The sequence below is a fragment of the Homo sapiens genome, chromosome 12 (genome assembly GCF_000001405.40).
Source record: "Homo sapiens chromosome 12, GRCh38.p14 Primary Assembly".
Lineage (NCBI taxonomy): Eukaryota > Metazoa > Chordata > Mammalia > Primates > Hominidae > Homo > Homo sapiens.
The window spans coordinates 9,639,375-9,666,429 of NC_000012.12; the positions used below are offsets into that span (position 1 = coordinate 9,639,375).

At 39.7% G+C, this 27,055-nt stretch overlaps 1 long non-coding RNA gene and 2 pseudogenes across 10 annotated transcripts in view, besides 7 other annotated features; 2 read left to right on the top strand and 1 right to left on the bottom strand.

Annotated features, from left to right (window-relative positions):
* LOC374443 (C-type lectin domain family 2 member D pseudogene) overlaps nucleotides 1–19,041 on the top strand; it is a 41,132-nt pseudogene extending 22,091 nt beyond the window's left edge. The window contains exons 1-5 of one of the 9 annotated variants that reach the window (NR_046444.1): nucleotides 8,673–9,559; nucleotides 14,309–14,434; nucleotides 15,847–15,929; nucleotides 16,499–16,605; nucleotides 17,547–19,041. The product of NR_046444.1 is annotated as a C-type lectin domain family 2 member D pseudogene, transcript variant 1 (transcript). Of the gene's footprint in view, nucleotides 1–3,493; nucleotides 3,730–8,544; nucleotides 8,616–8,672; nucleotides 9,560–14,308; nucleotides 14,435–15,750; nucleotides 15,930–16,498; nucleotides 16,606–17,193; nucleotides 17,324–17,546 lie in introns of those variants that run through there. The other 8 variants (NR_046445.1, NR_046446.1, NR_046450.1 and 5 more) reach the window with 8 other exon arrangements.
* Nucleotides 2,296–3,837, top strand: GOT2P3 (GOT2 pseudogene 3; annotated as a pseudogene).
* Nucleotides 7,639–8,614, bottom strand: LOC105369728 (uncharacterized). The gene is made up of 2 exons (NR_157802.1): nucleotides 8,467–8,614; nucleotides 7,639–8,002 (listed from the first exon to the last, which is right to left on the bottom strand). It is a non-coding gene; the product is annotated as an uncharacterized LOC105369728 (long non-coding RNA).
* Nucleotides 8,328–8,397: an enhancer, noted in NCBI's record as "active region_5942". NCBI's record gives its function as "activates an Ori minimal core promoter by ATAC-STARR-seq in GM12878 lymphoblastoid cells {active_cell/tissue: GM12878}" and the evidence as "EXISTENCE:reporter gene assay evidence [ECO:0000049][PMID:35858748]".
* Nucleotides 8,408–8,457: an enhancer, noted in NCBI's record as "active region_5943". NCBI's record gives its function as "activates an Ori minimal core promoter by ATAC-STARR-seq in GM12878 lymphoblastoid cells {active_cell/tissue: GM12878}" and the evidence as "EXISTENCE:reporter gene assay evidence [ECO:0000049][PMID:35858748]".
* Nucleotides 8,568–8,867: a silencer, noted in NCBI's record as "silent region_4229". NCBI's record gives its function as "represses an Ori minimal core promoter by ATAC-STARR-seq in GM12878 lymphoblastoid cells {active_cell/tissue: GM12878}" and the evidence as "EXISTENCE:reporter gene assay evidence [ECO:0000049][PMID:35858748]".
* Nucleotides 9,138–9,207: an enhancer, noted in NCBI's record as "active region_5944". NCBI's record gives its function as "activates an Ori minimal core promoter by ATAC-STARR-seq in GM12878 lymphoblastoid cells {active_cell/tissue: GM12878}" and the evidence as "EXISTENCE:reporter gene assay evidence [ECO:0000049][PMID:35858748]".
* Nucleotides 9,248–9,427: an enhancer, noted in NCBI's record as "active region_5945". NCBI's record gives its function as "activates an Ori minimal core promoter by ATAC-STARR-seq in GM12878 lymphoblastoid cells {active_cell/tissue: GM12878}" and the evidence as "EXISTENCE:reporter gene assay evidence [ECO:0000049][PMID:35858748]".
* Nucleotides 10,502–10,551: a silencer, noted in NCBI's record as "silent region_4230". NCBI's record gives its function as "represses an Ori minimal core promoter by ATAC-STARR-seq in GM12878 lymphoblastoid cells {active_cell/tissue: GM12878}" and the evidence as "EXISTENCE:reporter gene assay evidence [ECO:0000049][PMID:35858748]".
* Nucleotides 11,327–11,506: an enhancer, noted in NCBI's record as "active region_5946". NCBI's record gives its function as "activates an Ori minimal core promoter by ATAC-STARR-seq in GM12878 lymphoblastoid cells {active_cell/tissue: GM12878}" and the evidence as "EXISTENCE:reporter gene assay evidence [ECO:0000049][PMID:35858748]".
* Nucleotides 19,042–27,055: the final 8,014 nt, after the last annotated feature.

Genomic DNA, 27,055 nt, shown 5'->3' on the forward strand with positions numbered 1-27,055 from the left:
AGAGAAGCAAATATACTCCAAATTTTGTTCACAGGAGTATACTCTACTCAATGATTAAAGGCTATAAATAGTTCAAAATATGTTTTCTTGACTCTAAAAAACAAAACAAGGATCAGCAATATCCAAGCAAAATTGAGAAAGATTGCTTCATTTTTTTGAGTTCACCCAGTTAACCCTTATTTTGCTTGATATTTATGAACATTTTAGCTCTTCATGAGTTCTGTACATTTTTCCTTTATTCCAATGTCACAATCCCCAAAGGTATGAGAAACCTGTATCTGAGAGCACTTGTAAAAGTTCTCTAGCTTATTATAAACCATCTTTTGAAAAAGATTAAAACAACAATTGTCTGTGAATAACAATATGTCCAGGGTAGTTACAGTTAGAAACACAATTGACAAAGTTTTGTTATCTCTGTAGTTTACAATAACTTAACAACTTTAATTATGATTGATAGGATATTCTTTAGACATTAGAATTTTAGAAATTCCATACAATTTTGGAACACATATTAGTATTATTCACCAAAATATGACCTAAAGAAGACTGAATACCATTTTGGCAATCCCATGTACCTAAACGTGTCACATAATCCTGTTTACCTTTCTTTTCTGAACACTCCAGGGGCCCTCTGAAGTATCTGAAAAGCCAGGTGTCAGAAAAGACAATTTTGAAACTGAAGTTTGATTTTGGAAAGCCTATTAAATATATTAGAGGCTTAAAATACTTGCTGTTATGAAATAGAATTCCGGATTACCATAAGTTATTTATTTTGCTGAAATAACAACTAAGAAATTTTTTTAAAGAAAAAACCTTGTACAGCCCTTTCATACAAATTTTGCTGACGAGCAGATTAGTGCCTTAAGGATACCTTGCTGTGCTTTTATTTGAATGCTCAATTTACAGAAAAATCATACAATACTTTTTGAAGTTAGTCAATATGTTCACACAGAGAATTTGTTGCAAGATTAATTTTTACAATCCTTCCACCAGTTGTTTGAACTTTTAGCTTTATCTTATCTAATTTAAAACAAATCTTCAACCCTAGGCAGGAATTTACATTTTTATGATTTCTTATAATCTTTATTAAAAACACATTTCACTGTCCTTATGCACCTTGCATGTAAATCTATTTCCAATAGTCTCAATTACATGTCATAATGGTAACTTTTAGCAGTTTTTAACTTTAATGTAAAACCTGGTAAGTTGTTTTGATTATGTGCTAGATGCAGCCAAGGTTTGACTCCTTCCAACATAATTAAGGGAGTGTTTAGTTCCATGTGTCCCCAGGCCTTGCCAATTGTGAAGCCAGCAAATTGAAAAGTTCTCAAAAACCAAAAAAGCAGTTTATGACCTTAAAATATTTTGCCAACCTAGTATCTGACCTGCATAATTTAGTCCACCTATTTACATTTTTATGACATCTGCTTTTTACCAATAATCTTTAAGGCTGTTTTTATTTCTCCAAGATTAAAGTCACGTGAACTGAAAGGTACCACAGCTTTTTATCTTCTCTTTCATAAAATATTTGATCCAAGTGCTTGTCTTCCTTTAGGCAAAATTAATTAGAGCTCTTTTTTTTATGTAAACATCACACACACAACACATATAGAATTACACAGACAGGTAGAAGATAACCCGGTCCCCATAAGATCTTTCATTTGCCAATCTCCTAATTGGATTATTGGCCTCTGGGTGCTTTTAATTTCTGGAGTCCATGAGAAAAAAAAGAGGTCTCTCCTCTCTTGTGCGTGCATTAAAAAAGTGGCAAAGCAAAATGAAGAAAAAATAATTCAGTTGACCAAGAAAAACCTTTTCCCAGCAAAACAAGGTCCAAGAAAAGGGAAACCTTTTAAATATGACTCTAACTTGGATATCCACTTTTAGTTAAGCTGAGCACTCCTTAAGAAATTCCTCTTAACTCCCTTATTATCTGAATTTAGCCACACCAAGTGGCCAATATTTCTGGCTTTCAAACTTTACTAAAGGCTCAGAGAAAGGAAAATCCAAGGCAGTTCATGGAGAGAAATGGAATCAACAAATAGCAAAAGGTCATGCAGATATCAAACCAGGTAAGACTCATTCCCTAAGCCAGGATTGAATCCAAGCTACACAGAGGCTACACAAAACCTTGCCAAGTGGTTACAGGTCTTGCTCCCAAGGATGTTAAACAAGATGGAGGTCCTCAGCAAATTTGCTATGGACCATACAGAAAGACATGCAAAGCAGACCAGATTGGCTACAGCTTCAGATCAGCCTCACAAATCGTCTCTCGCAATTAAAACACTACAGAGAGCCCTCTGCTCAGTCCTGCAGCTGCCCACTGCCCTCCTACTGTCCACCGTGGCCCTGCTGCACTCTGGCTGCGTCCTCTCTGGGATCGCTGCCACCTTCCACCTGGGCCTCGCAGCTGCGGCCTCTGCCAGAGCCAGCTCCTGATGGACCCATGTGGAAATGGGACCTCCAGATATCATCCTGGCAGTCATTGAAGACTTTAAGAGGGACACCAATAGCAAAAAGATGAATCTGGGAGTTGGTGCCTACCGGGATGATAACGGAAAGCCTTGGACGTGCTGCCTAGCGTCCCCAAGGCAGAGGCCCAGATTGCCACAAAAAGTTTGGACAAGGAATACCTGTCCACTGGGGGACTGGCTGAATTTTGCAAGGCATCTGCAGAACTAGCCCTTGGTGAGAACAGCGAAGTCTTGAAAAGTGGCCGGTTTGTCATTGTGCAGACCATTTCTGGAACTGGAGCCTTAAGGATTGGAGCCAGCTTTCTGCAAAGATTTTTTAAGTTCAGCTGAGATGTCTTTCTGCCCAAACCAAGCTGGGGAAATCACACGCCCATCTTCAGGGACACTGGCATGCAGCTACAAGGTTATCGGCTTTATGACCCCAAGACTTGCGATTTTGACTTCACAGGCGCTGTGGAGGGCCTTTCAAAAATACCAGAGCAAAATGTTGTTCTTCTGCATGCCTGCACCCACAATCCCACGGGAGTGGACCCAGGTCTGGAACAGTGGAAGGATACAGCAACAATGGTGAAGAAGAAGAGTCTCTTTGCCTTCTTTGACATAGCCTACCAAGGCTTTACCAGTGGTGATGGTGATAAGGATGCCCGGGCTGTGCACCACTTCTTTGAACAGGGCATTAATGTTTGTCTCTGCCAATCATATGCCAAGAACATGGGCTTATATTGTGAGCGTGTAGGAGCCTTCACTGTAGTATGCAAAGATGCGATGAAACCAAAAGGGTAGAGTCACAGTTGAAGATCTTGATCCATTCCACGTATGCCAACCGTCCCCACAATGGGGCCCAGATTGCTTCTACCATTCTGAACACCCCAGATTCATGAAAACAATGGTTGCAAGAAGTGAAAGGCATGGCCGACCACATCATTAGCATGCGGACTCAGCTTGTCTCCAACCTCAAGAAGAAGGGTTCCACCCACAACTGGCCACATAGCACTGCCCAAACTGGCATGTTTTGTTTCACAGGGCTAAAGCCTGAACAGGTGGAGTGGCTAACCAAGGAGTTCTCCATCTATATGACAAAGGACGGCCGCATTTCTGTGGCAGGGGTCACCTCCGGCAACGTGGGCTACCTTGCCCATGCCATTCACCAGGTCACCAAGTAATGTACCTGGTGCAAGGAAACAGAGACGACCTTTCTGTCTTCAGCCTCTGCTATTGGGAGCTTCACACAGAGGATGAGAGAGAGCGGATGGTGGTGAGTGGATCATTTTCTTCAACCACGGTGTGTAACACTCAGCAATTGAATGTTTCTCAGAAAAGAACGTGTAGTGACACAGGGCAGAGGGATCCGTGGCTGGCGTCTGGAACATTGTGGCTCTAAACCAAATGCTCCCCTGTCCTTTTATCCCCAACTTTTCTCAAAGAGTTTACATGTACAAGAAAGTCACCACACCAAAAAACCTGTCAATTATGCCATTGCAATATTTCAGAAGCTTTAACTGAAGTGTCATATAGTGTCAGGTTCCTCATGAGAAATAGCACACATTAGAGGCTTTGAGAGAAGACCTAGTTCTGTCATGAACACTTGGCCTCATGTCTGTCCTCCCATCATGGAGCAGCCTTATCAACAGACCACATTGCAGAAATTATGTTTTATGAAAACCAGTAAGTCTGCTGCCACTACAGCAAGGAAAGGAATGCAGTTTCCTGTCTTATTTAAGAAAAAGAGAAGGCTCTCTTTTCTCCTTTGCCATTGCTGTTCTTTTCCTTATGCACAAAGATTTTTAATGAATGCAGATTTTTATCTCATTCTACTGCCTGACTATCAACCCCATCCTATTGGGATTTATTTAAGAATAAACATAATTTTCTGCTGATGCCATACCCTCACTTTTCTCAGCAAAGAATAATGGAGAGTAGGTAACTGTACTTTATCTCAGCATCCTCTTGAATGATTTTGTAATCTTCTCTAGTTGTGATGTTGTCTCTGCCCAGTTGTACCTCCTCCTTTGTTGAATGTGGTTGTGCAGTCACTCATCTCACACCGTGAGTCCAGTGGCACAGGGTGGTACCAGGAAAGAGGATATTCTAGGCTTTGTGTGCTGCCAGTTGGGTTCAGGCTTCACCTCCTGGAAACCATGTAGACTTATTGCAGCCTACAGATTTGTGGAACTTCAAACTTGAGGGAGATGATTTAGGGTATCTGGCAGAAGAAACTTCTAAGCATTGAAGCAGTTAAGAGGTGACTTGGGTGCTGTTAAAATATTCAGTTTTAAAAGGGAAACAGAGGATAAAAGTTTAGAAAATGTTCAGCCTGATGATGTGATAGAAAAAAAACCATTTTCTGTTTCTCCACTGTGCACGAGATAAGTGGAATACCTCCTAGCATTCCATAGCACTGTAGGATTACTACAGTTAACAATAATATGTTATATTGTTTCAGAAAGCTAGAAAGAGGATATTAAATGTTTCCAACATAAAGAAATGATAAATGTTTGAGATGATAGATATGCTAATTACCCTAATAGAATTGTTGTACATCATATCTATCAAAACATCACTACATACTTTATGAATATGTAGTTACTATTTGTCAATTAAGAAACAAAATGGAAGAAAGGAAAAAAAAACTGTAACTAATCCCGTTTAAGTATGAAATTGTATTTCCTATATTAAATGCCTACACCCACACTGTGAATAAATTTTATTTATATTAATATGTAAAGTTGTAATGTGAGAAATGAGCTTACGAGGTTGCATTTATGACAAGATTCTGTTCACTGAAGAGAAAGAGTACCTCAAGTATTTCTATTTACCATTAAAAGTAGAACTGATTTCAAAGATCTATATTCAAGAGAACAGAGAAAGAAATTTTAAGATAATTTCTGCAAGTTAAGGTTATTTGTTTTTAAATCTTACCCCAAATAATGCAAATGATGCCGTGTTTTCAAATTTTATTTTCAGTAAATCATCAATAACTATTTCCAACAAGTTATCCTGTAAATTTCACAATTATTTGTTATTATTTTGCAAGAAGGTAATATGTGAATTTCAGATTTTTATGCACAGTTGGATTGTAGTTGAGAAAATAACCTTAAGATCCCAAACTTCTTAATGTTGTGACTCATACACACTCATGTCAGAAGTGACCCACCACTGAGTCTGATGGTACCACACTTGTCTATTTCCTGTCCAACAAGGTGGATTCACCCACTTGGTTATTAAGGAAATGTCAAATTGCTATATGAGTTTTTAAATGCTTACTCTCAATGTCTGTGATATGGTTTGGCTGTGTCACCACCCAAATCTCATCTTGAATTCCCATGTGTTGTGGGAGGCACCCAGTGAGAGGTAATTGCATCATGGGGCAGGTCTTTCCCGAGCTGTTCTTGTGATAGTGAGTAAGTCTCATGAGGTTTAATGTTTATTATAAGGGGAAATTTTCCTGCACAAGCTCTCTCTGCTTGCTGCCATCCATGTAAGACATGACTTGCTCCTCCTTGCCTTCTGCCATGATTGTGAGGCTTCCCCAGCCACATGGAACTGTAAGTCCAATTAAACCTCTTTATCTGTAAATTGCCCAGTCTTGGGTGTGTCTTTATCAGCAGCATGAAAACAGACTAATAAAGTCTGTGTTTACCTCACCATGGACTGATAACACATAGTTCATGAACTGCCACTGATCCATGATATACACTTTGAGTAATACCACTCTAAGGCAAAATAAGAGATAGATATATTGTAACTGCTATGATGATGATGTTAGCAGGGGAACTGGGGATGTTACTATAGGCAGATCTAAAAAATCCAATAAAGGTTTTTTCACTTCAATTTTAAAAACTCTACATTTTTTACTAGTAGGGCCTTTTATTAACATGCCACCATCTAGCACTTCACGTAATATATGACTCTCCACACAAATGTTTGCCATTTGTTTATTTAACTAGGTAATAATAAGGAGGAAAGATTTGAGTCAGCTTCAGTAAGCATTTCTAACTGCAACAGACTTTGCAAGTAATCATTTTATTCAAAAGCCAAATAACTTACATTCTATGTGTGTGTCCTAAAAGAATCCTGGCTGTGTACTTATTTACATAACCTTTATTTATTGTCCTTTATATACAAAGGACAATAATGCATGAGGCAGAACATTTCCTTTCTTCTGAGGACAGGAGAATTCTGAATGCAATTCCAGAAATTAACAGTCTTGTGCTTATGTATTAACTTTTTTTCATATATAATAGACATGGGCTTACATTTCATTTACTGTGATGACACATTTAAGAAACCTAGTCAAATTTAAGGCCCTGCAATCAGATCCTTTTATGCCTGTCTTTTAGAGTTTGAAAAAATAAAGGAAGAAAAAAAAATTTAAACCACCGTGATGCACTGAAACTCACTCATTTTTCATAGACACTTTTCTTTATAAGGGTTATATTAGGATAGTTATGGCTATATAGTTTTATTATTTTTATTATCCGTATGCATACATAGCAAAATATTTGTTACACAAGCAATAAACTTAGATATTAACATCATATCTCCTTTTCCATACTTCCTCAGAGAGAGTCAAAAGGTGGAAGGACTATTAAGGCACTACTTCTGAAATGTGATCGAGGTTGTTTCATTATCATGTAAGAAAATTATAATCTTACTGTATCCTGTGGTGCAAAGTATGTGTGTGTGTATACATATATAATATATATATATACACATACATATATATGATATATATATATCAACAAATTATAAGTTAAATTGAAGGATGATTATAGCTTTCTATGTCATAGCTAAAAACAATCATAACTGACAAAAAGTCATCTGCTTTTTAAAAATAATTAATACATGTTATTTTAGAATAGTTTTAGGGTTGTGGAAAAATTGAGTGGCAAGTGTAGATTTCTGATTTATCACTTCTTCCTCCCTCACAATTTCCCTTATTATTAACATTGCCCATTAGTGTTGTACAATTTGTCTTGATGAACAAATATTGATACATTGTAAGTAAGTCCATCGTTTAGGGTTCCCTCTTTCTGTTGTACATTCTGTGGGTTTGACAAACATGTGAGATATATCTGCAGCAGCCTCGTTGTCTGGGGTAAATACCAAGATTCTTAGTCTCATGGCCAAGGAGATCGAGGTCTCGGACACACACACAGACAGAGTGAGTTTGGAGCAGGAGTTTAATAGGCAAAAGGAAAGAACAGGTCTCTGTTAGAGAGGGATCCTGAGAAGATTGCCAAGTTGTAGTTAAGAATGTCAGAGTTTTTATAAATGGGCTCTTGAGGAGGGGGCTCTTGAGGAGGGGCTTGTGAGGAGGGGATGTCTTATCTTTCTAGGGCCCCAGGGTTTAGTTGGGACCAGGTGTGCCATCTGTACAGAGCAGATTTTTTTATCATCTCTTAACCCACTCCGTGACCACACAGGCCAACTCTTAGTCTGTGTTTCTTTGTCCTGCTTATCTGGTAGGGAAAGTTTCTGTGTCTGTTCCCATACATCTTCTTGAAGCTGCAGGCATCTTGGTGCGCCTAAAGAGAAAGGAATGTGCTTATTAAGGCCCACTGTTTTACTGGGGCCCATCGTGTAAGTGTGAAGCTTGGTGATTACCCGGGAGACTCTCGGCTGTCCACCCCAGTCCTTCTGTGTCCCAGCTGTCTTTTCTGTGTTTTACTGTCTGCTCTTTCAGGCCTCTTGTTAGAAAAGTGATTTCTTTGAACTGCATGAGGTTAGCAAGGGAGCTATTTTTGAGCTGCTTTTTGTTAAAAGCAAAGTTTTCTACCGGGGACTGGCTTTACCCTGTCTACCCAAATAATTCGTTTCTGCCTCCTATAACATATCCACCATTACACATAGAATAGTTTCACTGCCTAAAAAGCTCCTGTGGCCCAGGGTGGGAATCGGCCCCGGGTGGAGGCCTCCATTGGGTTCCCCCTAATCCCGGGGACAAGGGCATCCTCTGGGTCCTTATCACAGGGTAAGGGGTCCACCAGACCCGGACAAGCGCTCCTAGCTGGAGGAGGGTCGCGTTCCTGCCGGATGTGGAAAGGAAGTCCAGGAATCCCCTTCCTGTCTTTCTGGTTTCTCTCTGGGCTTCCTGCTCGGGTCACAAGCGCCAGAAGCGCCGGCGGCTGCGGGGAAACGGTAGGCGGGGGATCCAGCCCCAAGCAAATCTCCCGCGGGCGCGTGGGAGGTGGGGCCAGTGCTGGGCGCAGCCGCGCCTCGCGCCTCCCGCCCCCCGGGGCTGCGGCGGGGACGCTTCTCTGGAGGGTGTGGCGGAAACTTGAGGCTTGGAGTCCGCGGGACCGGAAGGGGCTCCGTAGCTCGGGGCAGGGTGGGCGCGAGAGAGCCTAGAAGCCCATGTAGCCGCGAATCCCGCAGCCCCAGTACACCTCCCTCCGTGCCTCCCCGCCTTTTCTGCAGAGCTCCGCCCTGGAGTGAAGGAGGAGCCGTCACCTGGAGCTCCGAAAAAAGCAGAAGAAGGCGCTTTTTATTTAGCCAGTGTGACCCCGCCAGGGCCTTCTCGGTTGGGTGAGCACTCTCTCTGACCAGGCCATGAAAAGAAAAATCTGTGCGATGCCTCCCCACATGTCACGGGACTCTGACTTGCCTTTGTCGTCAGAGTTTGCAGAACTTTGGGGGACCTGAGAGGGGAGTGCCCCCTGGACGGGCCACGGCTGTCTGTGGCTTAAGGGCTTTTGGAAGGGCGGAGAGAGGGAAACGGCGTCCTAGTGGCCTGCTTCAGGGCCACCCACGGGCCCTCCCCCAACCTCTCTCTGATCCAACTTGTTTTTCCAGCCTAGTTGGAAACTTGTGGATGCTGTGACCTCAAGAAGACTTGGCATTTTATTTGGAAGATAGACATCTATTTGCAACTGTCCTGAGCCCCTATTTTCCTCCCACCTTTCTTGGGGAAACTTGTTTTTAAGGGATGCCACTGTTTTTGTAACATGTTGCTCCTAGCTCTTAGCATTCATGGTACTGTTGTAACCGTCCAGTGGGTTCACTTTGTCTGCTAGATAGAGCCGATTTATCAAGACGGGGATTACAATGGAGAAAGAGTAATTCACGCAGAGCCGGCTTTGCAGGTGATGGGAGTTTTATTATTACTCAAATCGGTCTTCTTAAATTTGTGTCCCGGAGCAGTACGTTCTAACATTTTTTAGATGTTACAAATGTAACTTTTGGCTAAGTTACATTCCTACTAAGTTATATTCTTACTAACTAAGCCAAATGTTATATTCTAAAGAATGTTTACAGAACCGAAACTAAATATTTGTTACCTGGTACAGTTGTGAAACTTGTTTTTTAAAATGCATCCTGTGATTTAAGTTTTTCAGATCCTGAAACTGAGTTAAAATTTGATCAGTAATAATGCTTTATTTCTCTGTTCTTCTGAGAGATAATTCCTAATGTTGTTTTTCCAACTAGAAGTCTGAAGAGTTATTGTGTTCAGTGTGTACCTTAAGAGTGGTATGAATTTGCGGGAGTCAGGACACACTGTAAGAAAGGTAGAAGAGAAATAAGTGAGCAAGAGAGAAGTGGAACAAGATGCATGTGGGAATATTGCTGCAGGACTTTTCCTTATTTCAGCTAAAAATGGGATTCTTTGTCCCACGGCCACGGAAATTCAGGCTCGCAGATGGTTTAAAGGGTGTGTGAAGCAGAGTTTTATTGGGTGAAAAAGGGAAAAAAAGGGGGAAACAGGTACTCTTGCAGGGCCAGAGTCCTTCCGCCGGAGCGCTTCCCACCTGACAGTTTGAATCCCAGGTTCTACAAATGAAAAACTGGGGCCAGGCTCAGGCTTCTCTCTGCTGCAAACCTTGTGAACTTCCCAAGGCTCCACCTCAGTGGGCAGGCTAATTGGAGTTTCTCCAGGGACCCCTTCCCACCTGGCTGTCTCAGTATTAGTAGGAGGGGCTAGAGATGTAAAAAAGAAGAAGAGAAAGCAGGCACATTTAGAAGATTATTAAGAGAGGCAAATGGGAGATTTGGGGGAAGTTTTAAGGGGAGAGTTACACATTACCCTAGTAGCAATGAAAAAGAATTACGGAAGTCTTAGTATTCTGAACCTTTAAGACAATTTTGCGTTAGTGTAGAACCAGAAAGAATAAAGGTTGATATTTTTATATGAGCCAAAATCCAAACGATATTTACTGCTTAAGATCATCCAATCTTACCCATCTTTCCCCCTGTCTAGAATTTAAGCTGAAGCTCCCTGTTATTCTTGTAGATGTATATTAAACGGACGAAAGTTGGCAGGGACTTTTAAAGTATTATAATTTATATTCAGTAAAATTCACTCTTTTGGTGTAGATTTCTATGGTAAACATATATACTCATGTTACTACCATAAAAGTCAAGATATAGAGCCATACCCACCCACTCGAAATTCCCTCATGTCCCTTTGTAGAATGTCTCTTCCTCTACCGCTAGCCCTTGGCAACCACTCATCTGTTTTCTGATCTTGCACTTTTGCTTTTCCAGAATGTCACATCGATGGAATCTTGCAGTAGGTAAATGTAGAATCTGACTTCATTCACTTAGCAATAATGCATTTTCAAGTCATCTGTATTATAGTATGTATCATTTGTCAAAGAAAAACAAGTCTGGACTTAGGGAGAAACTTTATTCAAAAGGACTGTTGCAATAGGAATAACACTGATTTCAAAAATATGTTAGGCCAGGTGCGGTGGCTTATGCCTATAATCCCAGCAATTTGGGAGGCTGAGGCGGGTGGATCACGAGGTCAGGAGATTGAGACCATCCTGGCTAACCTGCTGAAACCCCGTCTCTACTAAACAAAATACAAAAAATTAGCCGGGCATGGTGGTGGGCATCTGTGGTCCCAGCTACTCGGGAGGCTGAGGCAGGAGAATGGCATGAACCCGGGAGGTGGAAGCTTACAGTGGGCCGAGATCATGCTCCTGCACTCCAGCGTGGGCGACAGAGACTCTGTCTTAAAAAAAAAAAAAAAGTTAGTGGTGTGGGAGAGAGCAGGCAAAGTCTAGGCGTTTCAGCAGGAAATGGTGCAATGTGGTCTGTGGTCAGGTTAAGGCAGGATGTTTTTTGCAAGTCTGTGCTTTGAGGCATTTAGGCAAACTTGCGGGCAAACACGTGTAGGGCCTGTGGGGAGGAGAAAAACCTGACAAAAGTTTGGCCAGCTAACACACAGTAAGAAATTGACAATTGTGAATGTGTGATCGAGTTTTTTCTTTTATTAGGGCTGAGGAATAGTTGTTTACCTCTTCAGCAGCTGAAGCATATTTGAGTTGTTGCTAGTTTTTTGTGATAATGAATAAACCTGGTGTAAAATATTCCTTACAGGTTTTTGGGTAAACACAAGTTTTCACTTCCCTTGTTTAAATACCTAGGGATAGGATGGCTAGGGCATGTGGTGAATTTACATTTACCATAACAAACTGCTTAACTGTTTTCCAAAATGCCCATAACATTTTGCATTTCCAGTGATGATGCATGAAAATTCCAGTTGCATCCTGTCCATTCTCTCACTGCTATAAAGAAATAGCCTGAGACTGAGTAATTTGTAAAGAAAAGAGGTTTAATTGGCTGACCATTCCACAGGCTGGCCAGGAAGCATGATTCTGGCATCTGCTCAGCTTCTGGGGATGCCTCAGGAAACTTACAATTCATGGCAGAAGGCAAAGGGGGAGTCCATACTTCACTTGGCCAGAGCAGGAGGAAGAGAGGAAGTGAGGGAGGGCACCACACAGTTTTCAACCGCCAGATCTCACGAGAACTCACTCTTATCATGACACAGTGCCAAGGGGGAAATCTGCCCCCATGATCCAATCTCCTTCCACCAGACCCCACCTCCAACGCTGGAGATTACAATTCAACATAAGATTTGGGTGGGGACAAAGATCCAAACCATATCACATCCCTTCCTCACCAGCAGTTGTTTCTTTTTCTGTTTTGTTTGCCACTCTAATAACCATGTAGTAGTCACTCATGGTTTTAATTTGTATTTCTCAAATGGCTGGTTATTTCAAGCATGTTTTTATGCACTTGTTTGCTATTCATATATCCTCTTTAATCAAGTATATCTCCAAATCATTGGCCCACTTTTTAATCTAGTTTTCGTTTTCTTATTGTTGAGTTTTGAGTTCTTAATATATTCTAGATACAAGTCGCTTTTTAGAGAGATGTTTTTCTGCCTTTGCTTGTCTTTTTATTCCCTTTTCAGGGTTTTTTTTCTAGCAGAGAGTTTTAATTACGTTAAAGTTCAATTTATCAATTTTTAAAATATTGATAATGCTTTTGGTGTTGTATGTAAGAAATTTTTGCCTAATTCAAGTTCACAAAAATGTAATTTTCCTCTTCTAATAGTTTTAGGGTTTGAGGCTTTATATATGAGTCTAAAATTTATTTTGAGTTAATTTTCTTATAAGGTATTAGGTGTGAGCTGAGGTTCACTGTTTTGCATTAGGACACTCAATTGTTCCAGCACTACATGTTCAGAAAATATTACCCCTTACCTACCTGATTACTTTCCACGTCTGTCAAATGTCAATTGATGATACACGTTTAGATTTGTTTCTGAAACCTTTTTTCTGTTCCATTGATTTATGTGTCTGTTCTTTTGTCAATATCATACTGTCTTTGTTTCTATTACTTTGTAAATTACGAAAGCAGGTTCCCTGATTTCCAAATTTGGCCATTTTTTTTTCCTTCAAAATTGTTTGGCTATTCTAGTTCTTTGCTTTTTCATATAATTTTAAAATTACCTTGCTTATTTCTACAAAAAATTCATACTGCAATGTTTATCAGTATTGCACTGAATCTCTAAACCTGTTTGGGTATAATTGACATCCAGCAATATTGCATATTCCAATCTATGAATATCTTATATCTCTCTGTTGATTCAAGTCTGCTTTGATTTCTTTGTCCCTTTGGTTTCCAGCTTTCATCATACTGATCCTAAACATATTTTGATATATTTATTTGATATCTTTCATGTTATTATAAATGATACTGTTTTTATATTTAAATTTCCACTTCATAATTATGAATATGGAAATATAAGTGATTTTTATATATGAACATAGGTAATCCTGTAGCTTTGCCAAATTCATTTATTCTCATAGCCATTTGGTAGATTCCTTAGAATTTTACATGCAGACAACTGTGTTGTCTGTGAATAGCAATGCTTTTATTTCTTTCCAATCTGTATGACATTTATTTCTTTTTTCTTGCCTTTTTGCCCCTAATAGGACATCCAGTAAAATGTTAAATTGGATTGGTGAGAGAGATCAGACATCCTTGCCTTGTTCTATGTCACTGGGGGAAAGCATTTATTCTTTCATCGTTAAGGTTGTTGCTAGTTGTAGTTTTTCTGTAGATGCCCTTTATCAGGTTGAAGAAAGTTCTTCAATTTCTAATTTGTTGAGTCTTACTATCGTGGATGAATATTAAGCTTTTCACATCCTCTTGCTGCATTTATTCAGATGCTCATATGTTGTCCCTTGTCTCATTCTGTCAATATGGTGAATTACATTGATTTATTTTCTGCTTCCCTTGTTGCTTCTAACCAGCTGCTTTACTATGGGGCTAAATCTGGATTGTGTATGTTTCTTTTTCATCCCAATTTCTACTCTTTTTCCAGTAACTGGAAGATTCCCTGGGGGTGGGGAGAATTCGATTTTTATCTCTAGCCCTCTTTGGGCCATTATTCTCATTTATGAACCAAGCCCTTTTGTGAAAGGAGTTGGCAGTAGGAGAATTGAAGTACATCTGATCTTAGTGTTGATTCTATGATAAATTTTTTCTCCCTACGATATTCCTGAGATTGAGATTCTGATGTTTCTATTTTACAGATAAAACTCTGCAAAGACAATGTCTAGCACTTATATCTCCAGTAACTCCTGTCAAGGTTTATTGTTGCTTGTTCATCATTGCAGTCCTGACTACAAGTGTGATTGCACTTTCTATTGTTTTGTCAGGTAAGTTACTTGTTCTCCAAACTGTACAATATTCTCCATATGTTTTTGTTGTCAATAAATATTTATTAAGCTCCATTATGTGCCTGTCACTGTGTGAAATGCTTGAATTACATCAGCAAACAAAATACACACAAAAGAATTCCTGCCCTTTGGAACTTATATTCCAGCAGAAAAACACAAGTAAAAATAAATAAGGGTGGAGGTATAACAGGTTGCAATAGGTTGACAAAACTAAGCCTTCTTAGGAAGGTGACATTTCAGCAACCTTTTGAAAGAGATGGAGGAACCATGTGAAGGAACCTATTCCAGGCAGAGAACAAGTAGACCAAAGCCTGAAGGAGGACTCTTCCTGGCTTATTTGAGGAAGAGCAAGGAGGCTGCTGTAGGTGAAGCAAAGTGAAGATGGAGAAGAAGAGTGATACCATGGGGAATCAGGAACGGAGGAACCTTGAGGGTCAGTTAAAGACTTTGGCTTTGACCTTCAGTGCAATAGGGAGACTAGATGAGGGAAGTTGTACGAGAGGAATGTCTTGATGTGACTTTCATTGTAGAATAATCATTTAATTGCTATATTGAGACTAGGTAGGGGAGGGTGGTCAGACTCTGGATATTTTGAAAGCTGAGCCAACAGTATTTTATGTCAAATTGGATAAAACGTCTCAGAGGAATGTCAAAGGTAAGCCTGTCTTCTTTTGAGCCTTGGCAAGAATGCATTTGCCGTCCATTGATATGAGAAAGGCTATGGGTATAGGAATTCCGCTTACGGAACTATTTCCTGACAAGTTCCTCTCAGAATTGTCATTTTTTATTAAAAATAAAGTAAGATCTCTACTTGAAATGTTTTCAGGCAAATCACCTGGCCTTAAGAGCTGGTATCTTCTACTTAAGCAGATTGAGAATGCACGAAAGTACAGAGAACTGTATACATAAAAAAATCATCTCTTGTATAGAGGTAATAGGTCCTCAGCATTGCTTTGTCAAGAGAAAGAAGGGCTAATATGAGGGAGGATATGGAAAAATCATCCGTATGACCCTGTGAAAGTACAGTACTATGGAAGTCGATGCTATAGAAATTGATTTCCTTGAAACTGTTAGTGTCAGTGTAAATTTCAGAAAGTCAAGGGTGCAGATACCCAGCTGGAAACCACCGGACTGACGATTGTTGTGCTTAGGATAAGGCACTTTGTGATGAGTTAGGAAAACAACAATCAGATATGTACACTTCAAAATTGACCTCAGGAAGGTAAGCAGAAAAATAGATAAAATGGGTGAGAAAATTTCTTTATTATGTTTCATTGTGATTGTCTCACTTTTAGCAAGAAAGGAAAAGCCAGTGGTAGAGTCATCTAAATACGCTGCTTGCCCAAAAAGCTGAATTAGATTTAGGAGTAAATGTTTTTATTTTTCTGAAGGCATAAGAAATTAGACATTGAGTCAAACGTTCTGTGTCTCATTAGAAGCCAGCCTTGCTCAGTTTGCAACTATGGAGGAACTGGTAAGAGATATTTTTGGATCATGTTTTCTGTTAAATACTTAGCCCCCTGAGGCAGGTCGGCTACATAGGGTTAAAGCTGAAATACTAAGAAGGATCCCATTCCAGGGGCATGAGATGTGTTTTCATGTCTAACATTTGTTGAGGGTGTGTTCTCTGCCTGGAACCCTGTGAGACATTTTAGATATATTTCCCCATGTAATGCTCATGGTGAGCTGGTAAGATGAGATGTATTGTTCTCATTCTATTAAGAAGTAAGGTAATTATATAATTTGTCATCTAGATTAAGACATATAGGGCATTAAAAGTGATCATTAATACATTGGTGGAATGACAAGCATAAACTGAGAATTTCCCAATGAAACTGGGATTTATGCTCACTTTAAATAAAGTAATTTAGGATCAGAGACGTTAAATGACTTAAACTGAGAACTGGGAATTAGTCTCACTCCAGAATTTATGCTGCTTAATTATACCACGCTGCCAGTGAAAAAGAGAAGGGATAGGGAAGAGAGACTCCAGAGTAATATGAAAGAAAGGGGCTCATGGTGTTAGTTTCTGTTTTATTATAGAATTTCCTGAAAAGATACAAAGGCCCTTCTGACCATTGGATTGGCCTTAGAAGAGAATCATCCCATCGCATTTGGAAATGGACAGACAACATGGAATATAATAACATGTATGTTTTGAGACTTCTCATCTTTTGCTGTGTTTATGTATGGTTATGTGTGTGAGTTGTGTTTATGAGATAAGAAATGTAGTATCATGGAAAACTTACTGCAATATGAGGTAAGAAATCTAAACCCTTTTTATGCTCTTCAGTTGGTTAGCTGTGTCTTTGGGAAAGCTTTACCTGTGATTTCAGTTGAAGTCTTTAATGTGACAGTGACATTTCTCACAATTTTACACTTTCATCCACTGATTTAAAACTGCTGAAATCCCTACTTATAGCTGATGTGCAACAAAGGTTCTACAATCATAGGAAGCCACTGAGGAGCTGATATCCACAAGGCTGTTAAGCCCACTCTTGCAGGTGTTGCATCCATTTACAATAGGAAAGCATCCAGGGAACTCATGGGAATCTCTCCCTCCTAAAGCTTTATCACCAGAAGGAAACTAGTAACAGTTCCTTGGACTGTGAACATTTCAAAGGGGTATTTTGAATATAATCATTACATTGCAGCAGATAAAATGTAGGAACCCAGTCATATCCATTAATCAAAGCTAAGCCCTTTCAGGAATTTACTAGTTTTTTTTTTTTTTTTAGTTTTCACACATTTACAAAACAATTTGGGAGGAGGCTGGAAATCATCTTGACTGAAGACCACCAATGGCAGCAGTTCATTTGGGTACAGCAGCAAGCATCAGTTAAATACCTATCAACATAGCTGGGCTTGGTATGGATGAATGATAAGCTTGTGATTTTCAAGCAAGGACCTTGAGGACATAAAGGACACTAAATACAGAAATGGTTTATATTACTATGAAGCAATATTAATGACAGACTTTTGCTTTTCTCTTATTCACATTGAAATATGGAGGGGTTGCAGAAGATGATGGGGAGGAACAAATGCAGGTGTCTAACTTACAAATATTTAATATTTTTGTGTTTGGATTTAGGCTTGCTATCAGAGGAAGTGGAGAATGTGCCTTCCTGAATGACAATGGAGTCAACAGTGGCAGAATCTACATGAACAGAAAATGGATTTGTAGCAAGCCAAACAATTATGTCTACAGTTGCCAGTTATGTCCCCACTGGGATACTACCTAGTAGAGCTGTGAGAAGAGGGCCACCATCCTCCAGACTCCAGAATGGTGGAATCAGCAGCAGCTTCCACCATGCCCCTGGAAAAACTGCAAGTAACAGACCTGCACATGTATCCCCTACATCTAAAATAAAAGTTGGAAAAAATGGAACTTTGATGTTAAGATGCACTGATACAAAACTTAAATTTTGGTCTCCTACATTAAAACAATATGAGTCTCTTAAAATATTGATTTGTTCTTAGTAAGATTACAAGAGGCTTTGATTTTTAATTCTGCAATGTTTCCTTAACAGCCATTCTGAATTACAAACTAATTCCTATTTCTGCCACATTCCTTCCTGAGAACTGTCTAGTCCTGGTTTGGGATTTATCTTAAAGGTCTAGAAAGGCAACATTTTACTTCAGCAAAACTTGATTCTATATTGTTGTTTTTTCTTAATGTGTCAAAATTGTTTTGTTACTAGGATTTCCTATGTTGTTATTAAATGTATTCCCCTGATCAAGGTCACTGGCCTAGAAAACAAAGATTCTGTGTTTTACCAAGATAATTCCCAGTGCTTCATGGTGTCTTTATTAGGCTTTGACTGCTTAGGGAAACTGAGCCTTAAAAGGGTAAAAGTTTTTCCATCCATGTAACTTTCTGAGGTCTTTAGGTTGTCACTCTGATTAAATGAGTAGTATTCTTAGCAGTGACTTATTATCTGTTGAAGGAAGTATTTTAAGCTTTTTGACATCTTTGGCAGGTTTCTCTAGAATCCAAATCCTAAATTAAGCCTTTTGGCCTAAAAATGACTGGGATTTTTCCAGGTGGACCCCCTAGATATGCTCCTCCAAAGGCTTGTCTTTCTTGTAGAGTTATTAAATGATTAGGCTTATTTGGCAAATACTGCTAGAAGCATTGTCAAATAAGAAATGGTGTTTTACCTTTCTTTAAGCTGTGTTTGTGTAAGTTCATCATTTATAGAAATGTGAAATTTTATGAGATTCCTAAGATACTGACATGCTGAGATACCTGTAATAATTGCAATTTTTATGTTGGATGATTGTATGCCACAGAAGCACTTAAATTTCCTGGTTAATTGGTAACGTTAATCAGATCTTTACCTATGGCTGTTCTGGGTTTTTGTCATTCACAGTTATTATTTTAATTTCTTCTTTGGAAGCGTTCGCAATCAGCTATAGTCCAAAATTGCTAATTAAGATCAAGCAAAACAAAATTAATTACGTAAAATTAATTTATAAGGATGTTTTTATGACGTAAATGTTTTATTTTCCAGAGCCAAGGAAATTTTCTGTCACAAGCTATCTACCGTTTGCAATAATTTGATAAATAATCCTTTGTGAACAAATATGGAAGCATTTGCTTTTTCTCTCTACTTGATTCCTTCAAAATTCAGAAACTATTTGTGGATATTTTTAGTTTTATTTATACAACTTCAGTAAAAATCCACTCTCTCTTTATAAGCAGGATCCAGTTGGAAACATTATTTATATTGCTAAGGTTTGGCTTGAAATGTCATATTTCAGAATGTGCATAGAGGCCAGGGGTGGTGGATCACACCTGTAATCCCAGCATGTTGGCAGGCTGAGGTGGGTGGATCACTTGAGGCCAGGAGTTTGAGATCAGCCTGGTCAAAATGGTGAAACCTCATCTCTTCTAAAAACACAAAATTAGCCAGGCATCGTGGCACACGCCTGTAGTCCCAGCTACTCGAGAGGCTGAGGCATGAGAATTGCTTGAACCCAGGAGGTGGAGGTTGCAGTGAGTGGAAATCCCACCACTGCACTCCAGCCTGGGCGACAGCATGACACTGTGTCTCAGAAAAAAAAAAAAAGTGCGTAAAATGCCTTGCTTCATGAGTTCCCAGCTTTACAGGGAATGAGTAAAAATTGTCACTTTCTGGCAGGTTCAAGAACCTTATTATAAGCAAAATCCAAAGGCTGCTTTGGTTTGGTTTCCTAGCCTCAAGAGGTTCTAAAATCTAAGATCTCCTACATCATCAACGGGAGAGAAAAATTATGCTTCTAAGGAAAGCAAAGTTACACCTGTTTTTAGATTTTAACCCTGTACATTGTCTTCAAGTCCTTGTTATCTGCCTGTGGACTGAACTAGATCCTGAATTCTCCTAAGTTCCTCCAATATTAGGTTATAACAGTCCTGATGGAGTCCCCCAACCCTCTTGCCTCGATCCTGACTAGGGATGCTCCAGGGACATTCAGGTGACTTCCCCTTCTTAAAAATCTGACCAGCTAGGGACATTAGATACCAGAATTGGGAACAAACTAGATCCATAAGATACTATGGTCAGTAATGAGATCTTATTGGTCAGTGACTTTTTTTTTTTTTTTAAATGGAGTCTCACTCTGTCACCCAGAGTGGAGTGCAGTGGCATGATCTCAGCTCGCTACAACCTCCCATCTCCCGAGTTCAAGTGATTCTCATGCCTCAGCCCCTCAATTAGCTGGGGTTACAGGCATGTGCCACCACACCTGGCTAATTTTTGTATTTTTAGTAGAGATTGGGTTTTGCCGTGTGGGCCAGACTGGCCTCTGGCCTCGAACTCCTGACCTCAGGTGATCCACCTGCCTCGGCCTCCCAAAGTGTTGAGATTACAGGCATGAGCCACTGCACCTGGCCTGCTCAGTGACTTCTAACATTGCTGCTGTACCTGGGTAAATACTTCCAGTCATATTTAAGCGGGCTTGGAGTTGGCAAAATCTCTGAGAGAGACATCTTCGGAAAGCCTCCATGCTGGACTTAGTGGATAAAGTTTCCAATGTCCAGATATTTTCAGCTGGTTTCTCCTTGGTATAGGATTTCTTCTGCATTCTACCCTGCACATCTTAATGATAACCCTCATATTTTGGCTAAGCATTTGACTCCCCTTTAGAATTGTTCTAACTTGTTTTTAACAGATGTCTACAAGAGATTCCCACCAGGATCCTGCCCATGCAATCTTTGAGACTTTAAACTCACTCCAGCTGGAAATAGGAACCAACTTAACCCAAGAGACTTTGGTTCACATTTAACCAGTACTTTCCTGAATGCCTCTCCTAAGTAAATGGCTCTAGTTTCTCTATTGGCCACTGCACTGCCACTAGGATTCCTGCAAGGGATCCGATGGGCCCAGAGCAGGTAGCCAACCACTTCTCTGTTGGATGGAATGCAATGCTGTTTGCCAGCATGTTTGAGCCAGTCCTTCAAGATGGATTCTGAGTGACTAACTGGACCTAAATTTAAATAGCACAAAGCAGCCATTTGCTAACTAGATTTCATACAAATGCTCTGAGTTCCTGGAAAACCCACACTCCTTAACTTTGGGACTTTCAAGACTCACCTAAATCAATCAATTAAAGCTCACTTGTGTCAGCTAATCAGGGATCAGCTGTATTGACTAATGAAAACTAAGCGAGTTTCAAATTTTAACCATTTATTTGTGTAGAAGACTTGATTGGGAGCCTGGGTATGAATACTTGCTATAAAATCTGAGCATTCCCTTTGTTCTCTGGAGCAAACAATGTTAAGTTGTTAACTCTCTGTACCTTTCTCTAGAACTGGATGGAAACAACTCCATCTGAAATGCAGCCCTAATACCAGGGAACTCCTACAGTAAAGCGCTAAACAACTTTATTACTCTAACCAACGTTTATGTCCCTAATCAGCAAGAAGTAGTTAGAATGGTCATCATCCCTTTCCCTCAAGATTGAGGAATGGACATAAAAAGGAGGGGATTTGTAACTGCTCCAGACTGATCTGTTGTCAGAAAGGGGCTCTTGAACCAGACCATGAAAGAGGGTTCTTGGATCTCCTGCAGGAAGGAATTCAAGGAGAGTCACAGAGTGTAGAGAGAATAGACAGTTTATTGAAAGCTACTCAGTTACAGAGTAGGGCATCCTCCAAAAGCAGGAGGAGGAATGTGCTGTCTTTGTTTTAAACTCTTCTTTTATAGGGGTTTAATCTATGTAAAACCTAAGCTATGTCTACATGTGGGTAGGCTGTCAGTGTGACAAAATTTAGTATTTTGTTGATATAAAGAAACTTATCCTTGTCATCTTAGTGCATAAGTACATCAAAGTATGACTTTAGCTACCTTAAAAGCATGTATTGTTATGTGATATTGGGACATCTGGACATTCTGCTGTCGTAGGAGTTTGTCCTTGCAGCATTACTAAATCGCTTCCTTAGCTGTAAACATCTTATAATCGTAGGTCATAACTGTCAAGGAAGTGCCTTGCTAGTTTTTAGATGGAGTTGATTTTAAAATAGTGTCACTCTGGCTTTCCTATGCTCCTGCTTTCCTAACAAATCTGGTTCAACTTTTTTTTTTTTTATTCAACATAATCTTTTTTTTCCATGCTACCTCATTTACAGAGTGCTTCCTATAGATATGGTTGGTCTGTATGTTTCATTTTTCAGCTTTGATTCTTATTTTTTTGAATCACACATGCTTTATGGGGGCTTCCACTACCATGAGCCATATTTTCTGTATTACCAGCAAGATGTTTGGGTTTGTTTTTTGTTTTCTTTATATTTCAAATTTTATTTTAGATTTAGGAAGTACGTGTGCAGGTTTGTTAACATGGGTGTATTGCATGACGCTGATCTTACAATACCAATGATCCCATCACTCAGGTAGTGAGCATAATATCCAATAGGTAGTTTTTCAGAACTTGCCTTATCTTCCCTCTCTCCCTGCTCTCTTAATTCGAAGCCTATTTTTCCTATCTTTATGTCCACATGTTTCCAGCATTTAGCTCCCACTTATACGTGAGAGTATGTGGTATTTGTTTTTCTGTGTCTGCATTAATTTACTTAGGATGATGGCTTCCAGCTGCATCTTTTGTTGCAAAGGACATGACTTTGTTCTTTTTTATGACTGTGTAGTATTCCATGGTGTATATGTACCACATTTTCTTTATCCAGAACACTGTTGATAGGCATCTACATTGATTCCATGTCTTGGCTATTGTGAATAGTGCAGCAATAAACATGCATGGTTCAACTTTTATGGTAACAAAGCTGTGAGTTGTTCTTCAGTTGTCATGGACCCTCACTCAGGTCATGTAACCTGAGCATGGACAGGTGAAACAAGTGTGCAACCACAAGGGAAACCTAATCATTCAGACTGAGGTACAGGGACCGAATTAAGAGGTGGACACAGGATGGCAGGATCCAGGATCCAACTGGATAGAACTCAGGCATCACTTCATGGCAGGATCCAGTCAGATCTTGCCTCCCAGCATCACCTCATTGCAAGATCCAATCAGATTATTCCTCACTACCCTATGCTTATAAAACCTGACCCACCTCCCAGCTTGGCGAGGTACTACTTTGGGAGCTTTGTCCAGTGTTCTCTTTACTTTCTGTAAGAACAAAATCTCCTTGCTAAATCCACCTTGTCGGTGGTCATTGGGTTGATACCTGCCAAGTGACTGAACCCACCTGTTGTGTGGGTAACATTTAGAACATATTTTCCATTTCTTTATTTTCCTTGACTGTCTGCATTGGTGTCTGTGCACCAGATAAAACAGCTTCCTTTCCAGTCTTCACAGACAGGTCTCAGATAGGACAACACCTTTACCAATCAGTCCAGACAGAGGTTCTGGGTGCCACTTAAACCTTCCTGGTAGTTGAAACCACAATGTTTGTTCTTAATGGTCCTCAGGCATCTAGAGTATGCCAGGCCCTTCCAGTGCTCTCAGATACATGAGATAAAATCCAGTTCCTCAGGTAGCAGCCAGAAAAGCTGGGGTGCTAGTTATTTGGTCTGTCTCCTTTGCTTTTCAGAGAGAAGCTGGAAGCCAGGCTTTATCACTGCACTGAGCCAAAGTGGGGAGCAGGGGGAAGTGCCCACATGCTTATTAAAAACCGCTCTGAAAATATTTGAAGTAACAGGGCTATAACAATTATTATTTTAAAAGCAACTGCTGTTTTGGTTTGTGTAGCCCCAGAGGTTTAGCAGATGCTGGGCCCTGTCAGCTCACCAAAACAGGGAAATTAGAAACCAGTCTATCTGGTAGTATCTAGAGAAGTTGTGATACCAGATAGGTGGTCCAAACCCTTCACTCCTCAGGGATAGACTAAGAGATGGGAGTTCCTTCCCGATCATATGGCATTGTATTAGGGTTGGGGGTTATGATCACAGTGTGTGCAAGTTTTTTCCTATCAGTTTTGATGTGGATAGTTTCACACTCACCTAGGGTACAGGAGTGGCTCAGTCAGTTTCTGGATTTCCAATGATGGGAATTTGCCTCTGTGTTGCTGTTGAATTGATGGTGGGGAAGGAGAGTTTAGGGCCTTCTATTCTGCCATCTGTGACTCTGACAGTTTCTTTTAATGTTAAACTATCATACAGTCTAGTTACTACATTTGTAGACATTTCTCTCGCACAAATGACAACTTATATTTACACAAAAGCCTGTATATAAAATGTGCATAACAGCTTTATTCATAATAGTCAAAACTTGTAAACAACTGTATGTCTCACAATGGGTGAAAAATTAAGTAAATTCTGTTATAGGCATACAGTGGATTACTACTCAGCAATAAAAAGGAATGGGCTATTGATACATATAACAACTTCCTTGAATCTCAAAGTACTTAGGCTAAGTAAGAAAAGCCAATTACTGAAGATCGCATTCTGTGTGATTTAATTTACGTAACATTATTGAAATGACAAAATGGTATAGATAGAGAATGAGGGTTATGGATGGGTGAGTGGAGAAGAAGGGGCAGTATGGAGAAAGGGTGGTGTGGCTCTCCGTCGTGATGGAAGAGTTTCGTTTCCTCATTGTATCAATGGCATTATCTTAGTCGTGATATTATAGTGTAGTTTTTTAGATGTTACCATTGGGAGAAACTGAGTAAAGAAGATGTGGGATCTTTCTTTAGTATTTCTTAGAACTGCATGTGAATCTACAACTAGCTCAAAATAAAAAGTTTAATTATAAAATAAAAGCTACATGAAATGAAGCAAAAAATAATTCACCCTTGTCACGCACACAGAGTCAGAGACTGTAACATAATTTGCAGGATCTAGAGCAGAATACAAATGTAAAACATCTTGTTAAAAAATTATTAATAATTTTGAGACATTGATAAAGCATTAAGCCGCCTGTGGGGCCCTTTAAGCATGATAAACTGTGCTACCACACAGATTGCACATTCACGTATCTGGCCCTGCAAATGGAATGATTTTTGCCCATGATCAATTCACCATGGCCTCTTTGGGCTCAGTGAATTTGCTTCTTCAGGAGGGTAATTTTCTCTTCTTTCTCTGCTAAGCTGTTTAACAGTAGTTGCCCTGCCTAATGGGCTTCATCCATCCATTTCTCTCAGATTATTTTCATGATGCACTAGGATGAAGCACACCCTTTCTCCTAGTCTTGAGGAAACGTCGATATTCAGAATATTTAAACGCAGGCACTGACCAATCAGAAGAGTTTCTGGCCAACGTTCCACACTTGAGGGAAATGACATTATCTGAGCCCTGAAGAAAAACGTTGTAGATATTCTCCAGATCAAAGCATCGACAGGAAGATTTTAGATGTTGAAGTTCGTAATATTTCCTAAAGCAGGTATGAATTACTAGTAACTTAATAGGTATATTAACTGATGAAGTTTTCATTTCTCAGAACAAACCAGTCAAGGAAGGTGCTATTATACTCCTTTTATTCATATAGATCTTGAGGCTGAGACAGTTTAATCAATATGCTATAATTATTGTGTAATAATAAATTACCATAAACTAGGGGTGCTATGATCTCAATATTTGTATCTCCCACTCCCAAATTCACATGTTGAAATCCTGACTCCCAAGGTGATGGCATTAGGAGATGAAACCTTTGTGAGGTCATTAAGTCATGAGGGTAGAATACCGATGAATGGGATTAGTGCCCTTACAAAAGGGGCCCACCAAAGCTGCCTTGTTCCTTCTACTATGTGAGGACACATCTAGAAGTTACCATCAATGAACCAGAAAGTGGGCCCTTACCAGGCACCAAATCTGCCAGCACTCTGATCTTGGACTTCCAGCCTCCTGAACTGTGAGAAATAAATTTCTGTTGTTTATAAGTTACCCATTTTATGGTATTTTGTTACAGGCACATGAACTAAGACAAGTGGATTAAAAACAACACAAATTATTATTTTACTGTCTAGAAATGAGAGGTTCAAAATGGCTAAAGTCAGGGTGCCACTGATAGGGCTGCATTTCTTTTGGAGGCTCTAGGGAAGAAGCCGTTTCCTTGCCTTTTTCAGCTTCCAGAGGCCACCTGCATTCCTTAGCTTATGGTCCCTTGCTACAGCTTTAAAGCCAGCAGCACAGCACCTTCAAATCTCTCTCTGACAGTGACATTCCTGCCTTCCCCTAATAAAGACCCATGTGATTAGATTAGGCCCACCTGGATTATCCAAAATAATCCCTCTGTCTTTAGACCCTTAACCATATGTGCAAAATGTCTTTTGTCATGTAAAATAACATCCTTACCTCAAGGTTTTGGGAATTAGCTTATTAATGTCTTTAGGGGGTCATTATTCTGCTTTCCACATACATTTAAAATTAACTATCAGGCTACAAAAGTCATATATGAATTGAGCTTGTTTTGCCCCAAAGGCTGTGTTCTTTTTTTATTTTTTTTATTTTTATTTTTTGAGATGGACTCTCACTGTTGCCCAGGCAGGAGTGCAGTGGCACAATCTCGGCTCACTGCAACCTCCGCCTCCTGGGTTCAAGTGATTCTCCAGCCTCAGCCTCCCAAGTAGTTGGGATTACAGGTGCGCACCACCACGCCCAGCTAGTTTTTGTATTTTTAGTAGAGACAAGGTTTTGCCATGTTGGCCAGGCTGGTCTCCAACTCCGGACCTGAGGTGATCCACCTGCCTCGGCCTCCCAAAGTGCTGGGATTATAGGTGTGAGCCACCACACCCTGCCAGCTGTGTTCTTTTACATCATAATACACTGCCTTTTATATCCCTCACTTATTCAATATCATTACCATCCATCATGCTGTCACAAACACAAAAACCCAAGAAAAGTGGGATACAGGTCATTGAGAATAAATAATTTTTATAAACTTTTGTTCTTTCTTGTAACTTTTTATCAGTCAGCTATTCCAATGAAGCAAAATCTGATAATATATTGCTTTTATACTACTTAGTTGAGACACTCACATCTATTGAAGAGTAATGGGCACTTTGAAGGGGCTTTTTTCTTTCCTTTTATATCCGGTCAATTAGTCATTAATTTCTGCCTTCTAATATAGACTCAACTAAAAAATTATATTTTGAAAAAAATTTATTTTCTAAATGAAATTAAAATTACTCTGTATGTGTACTTCTTTTCCTCACACTGGAATTCTCTA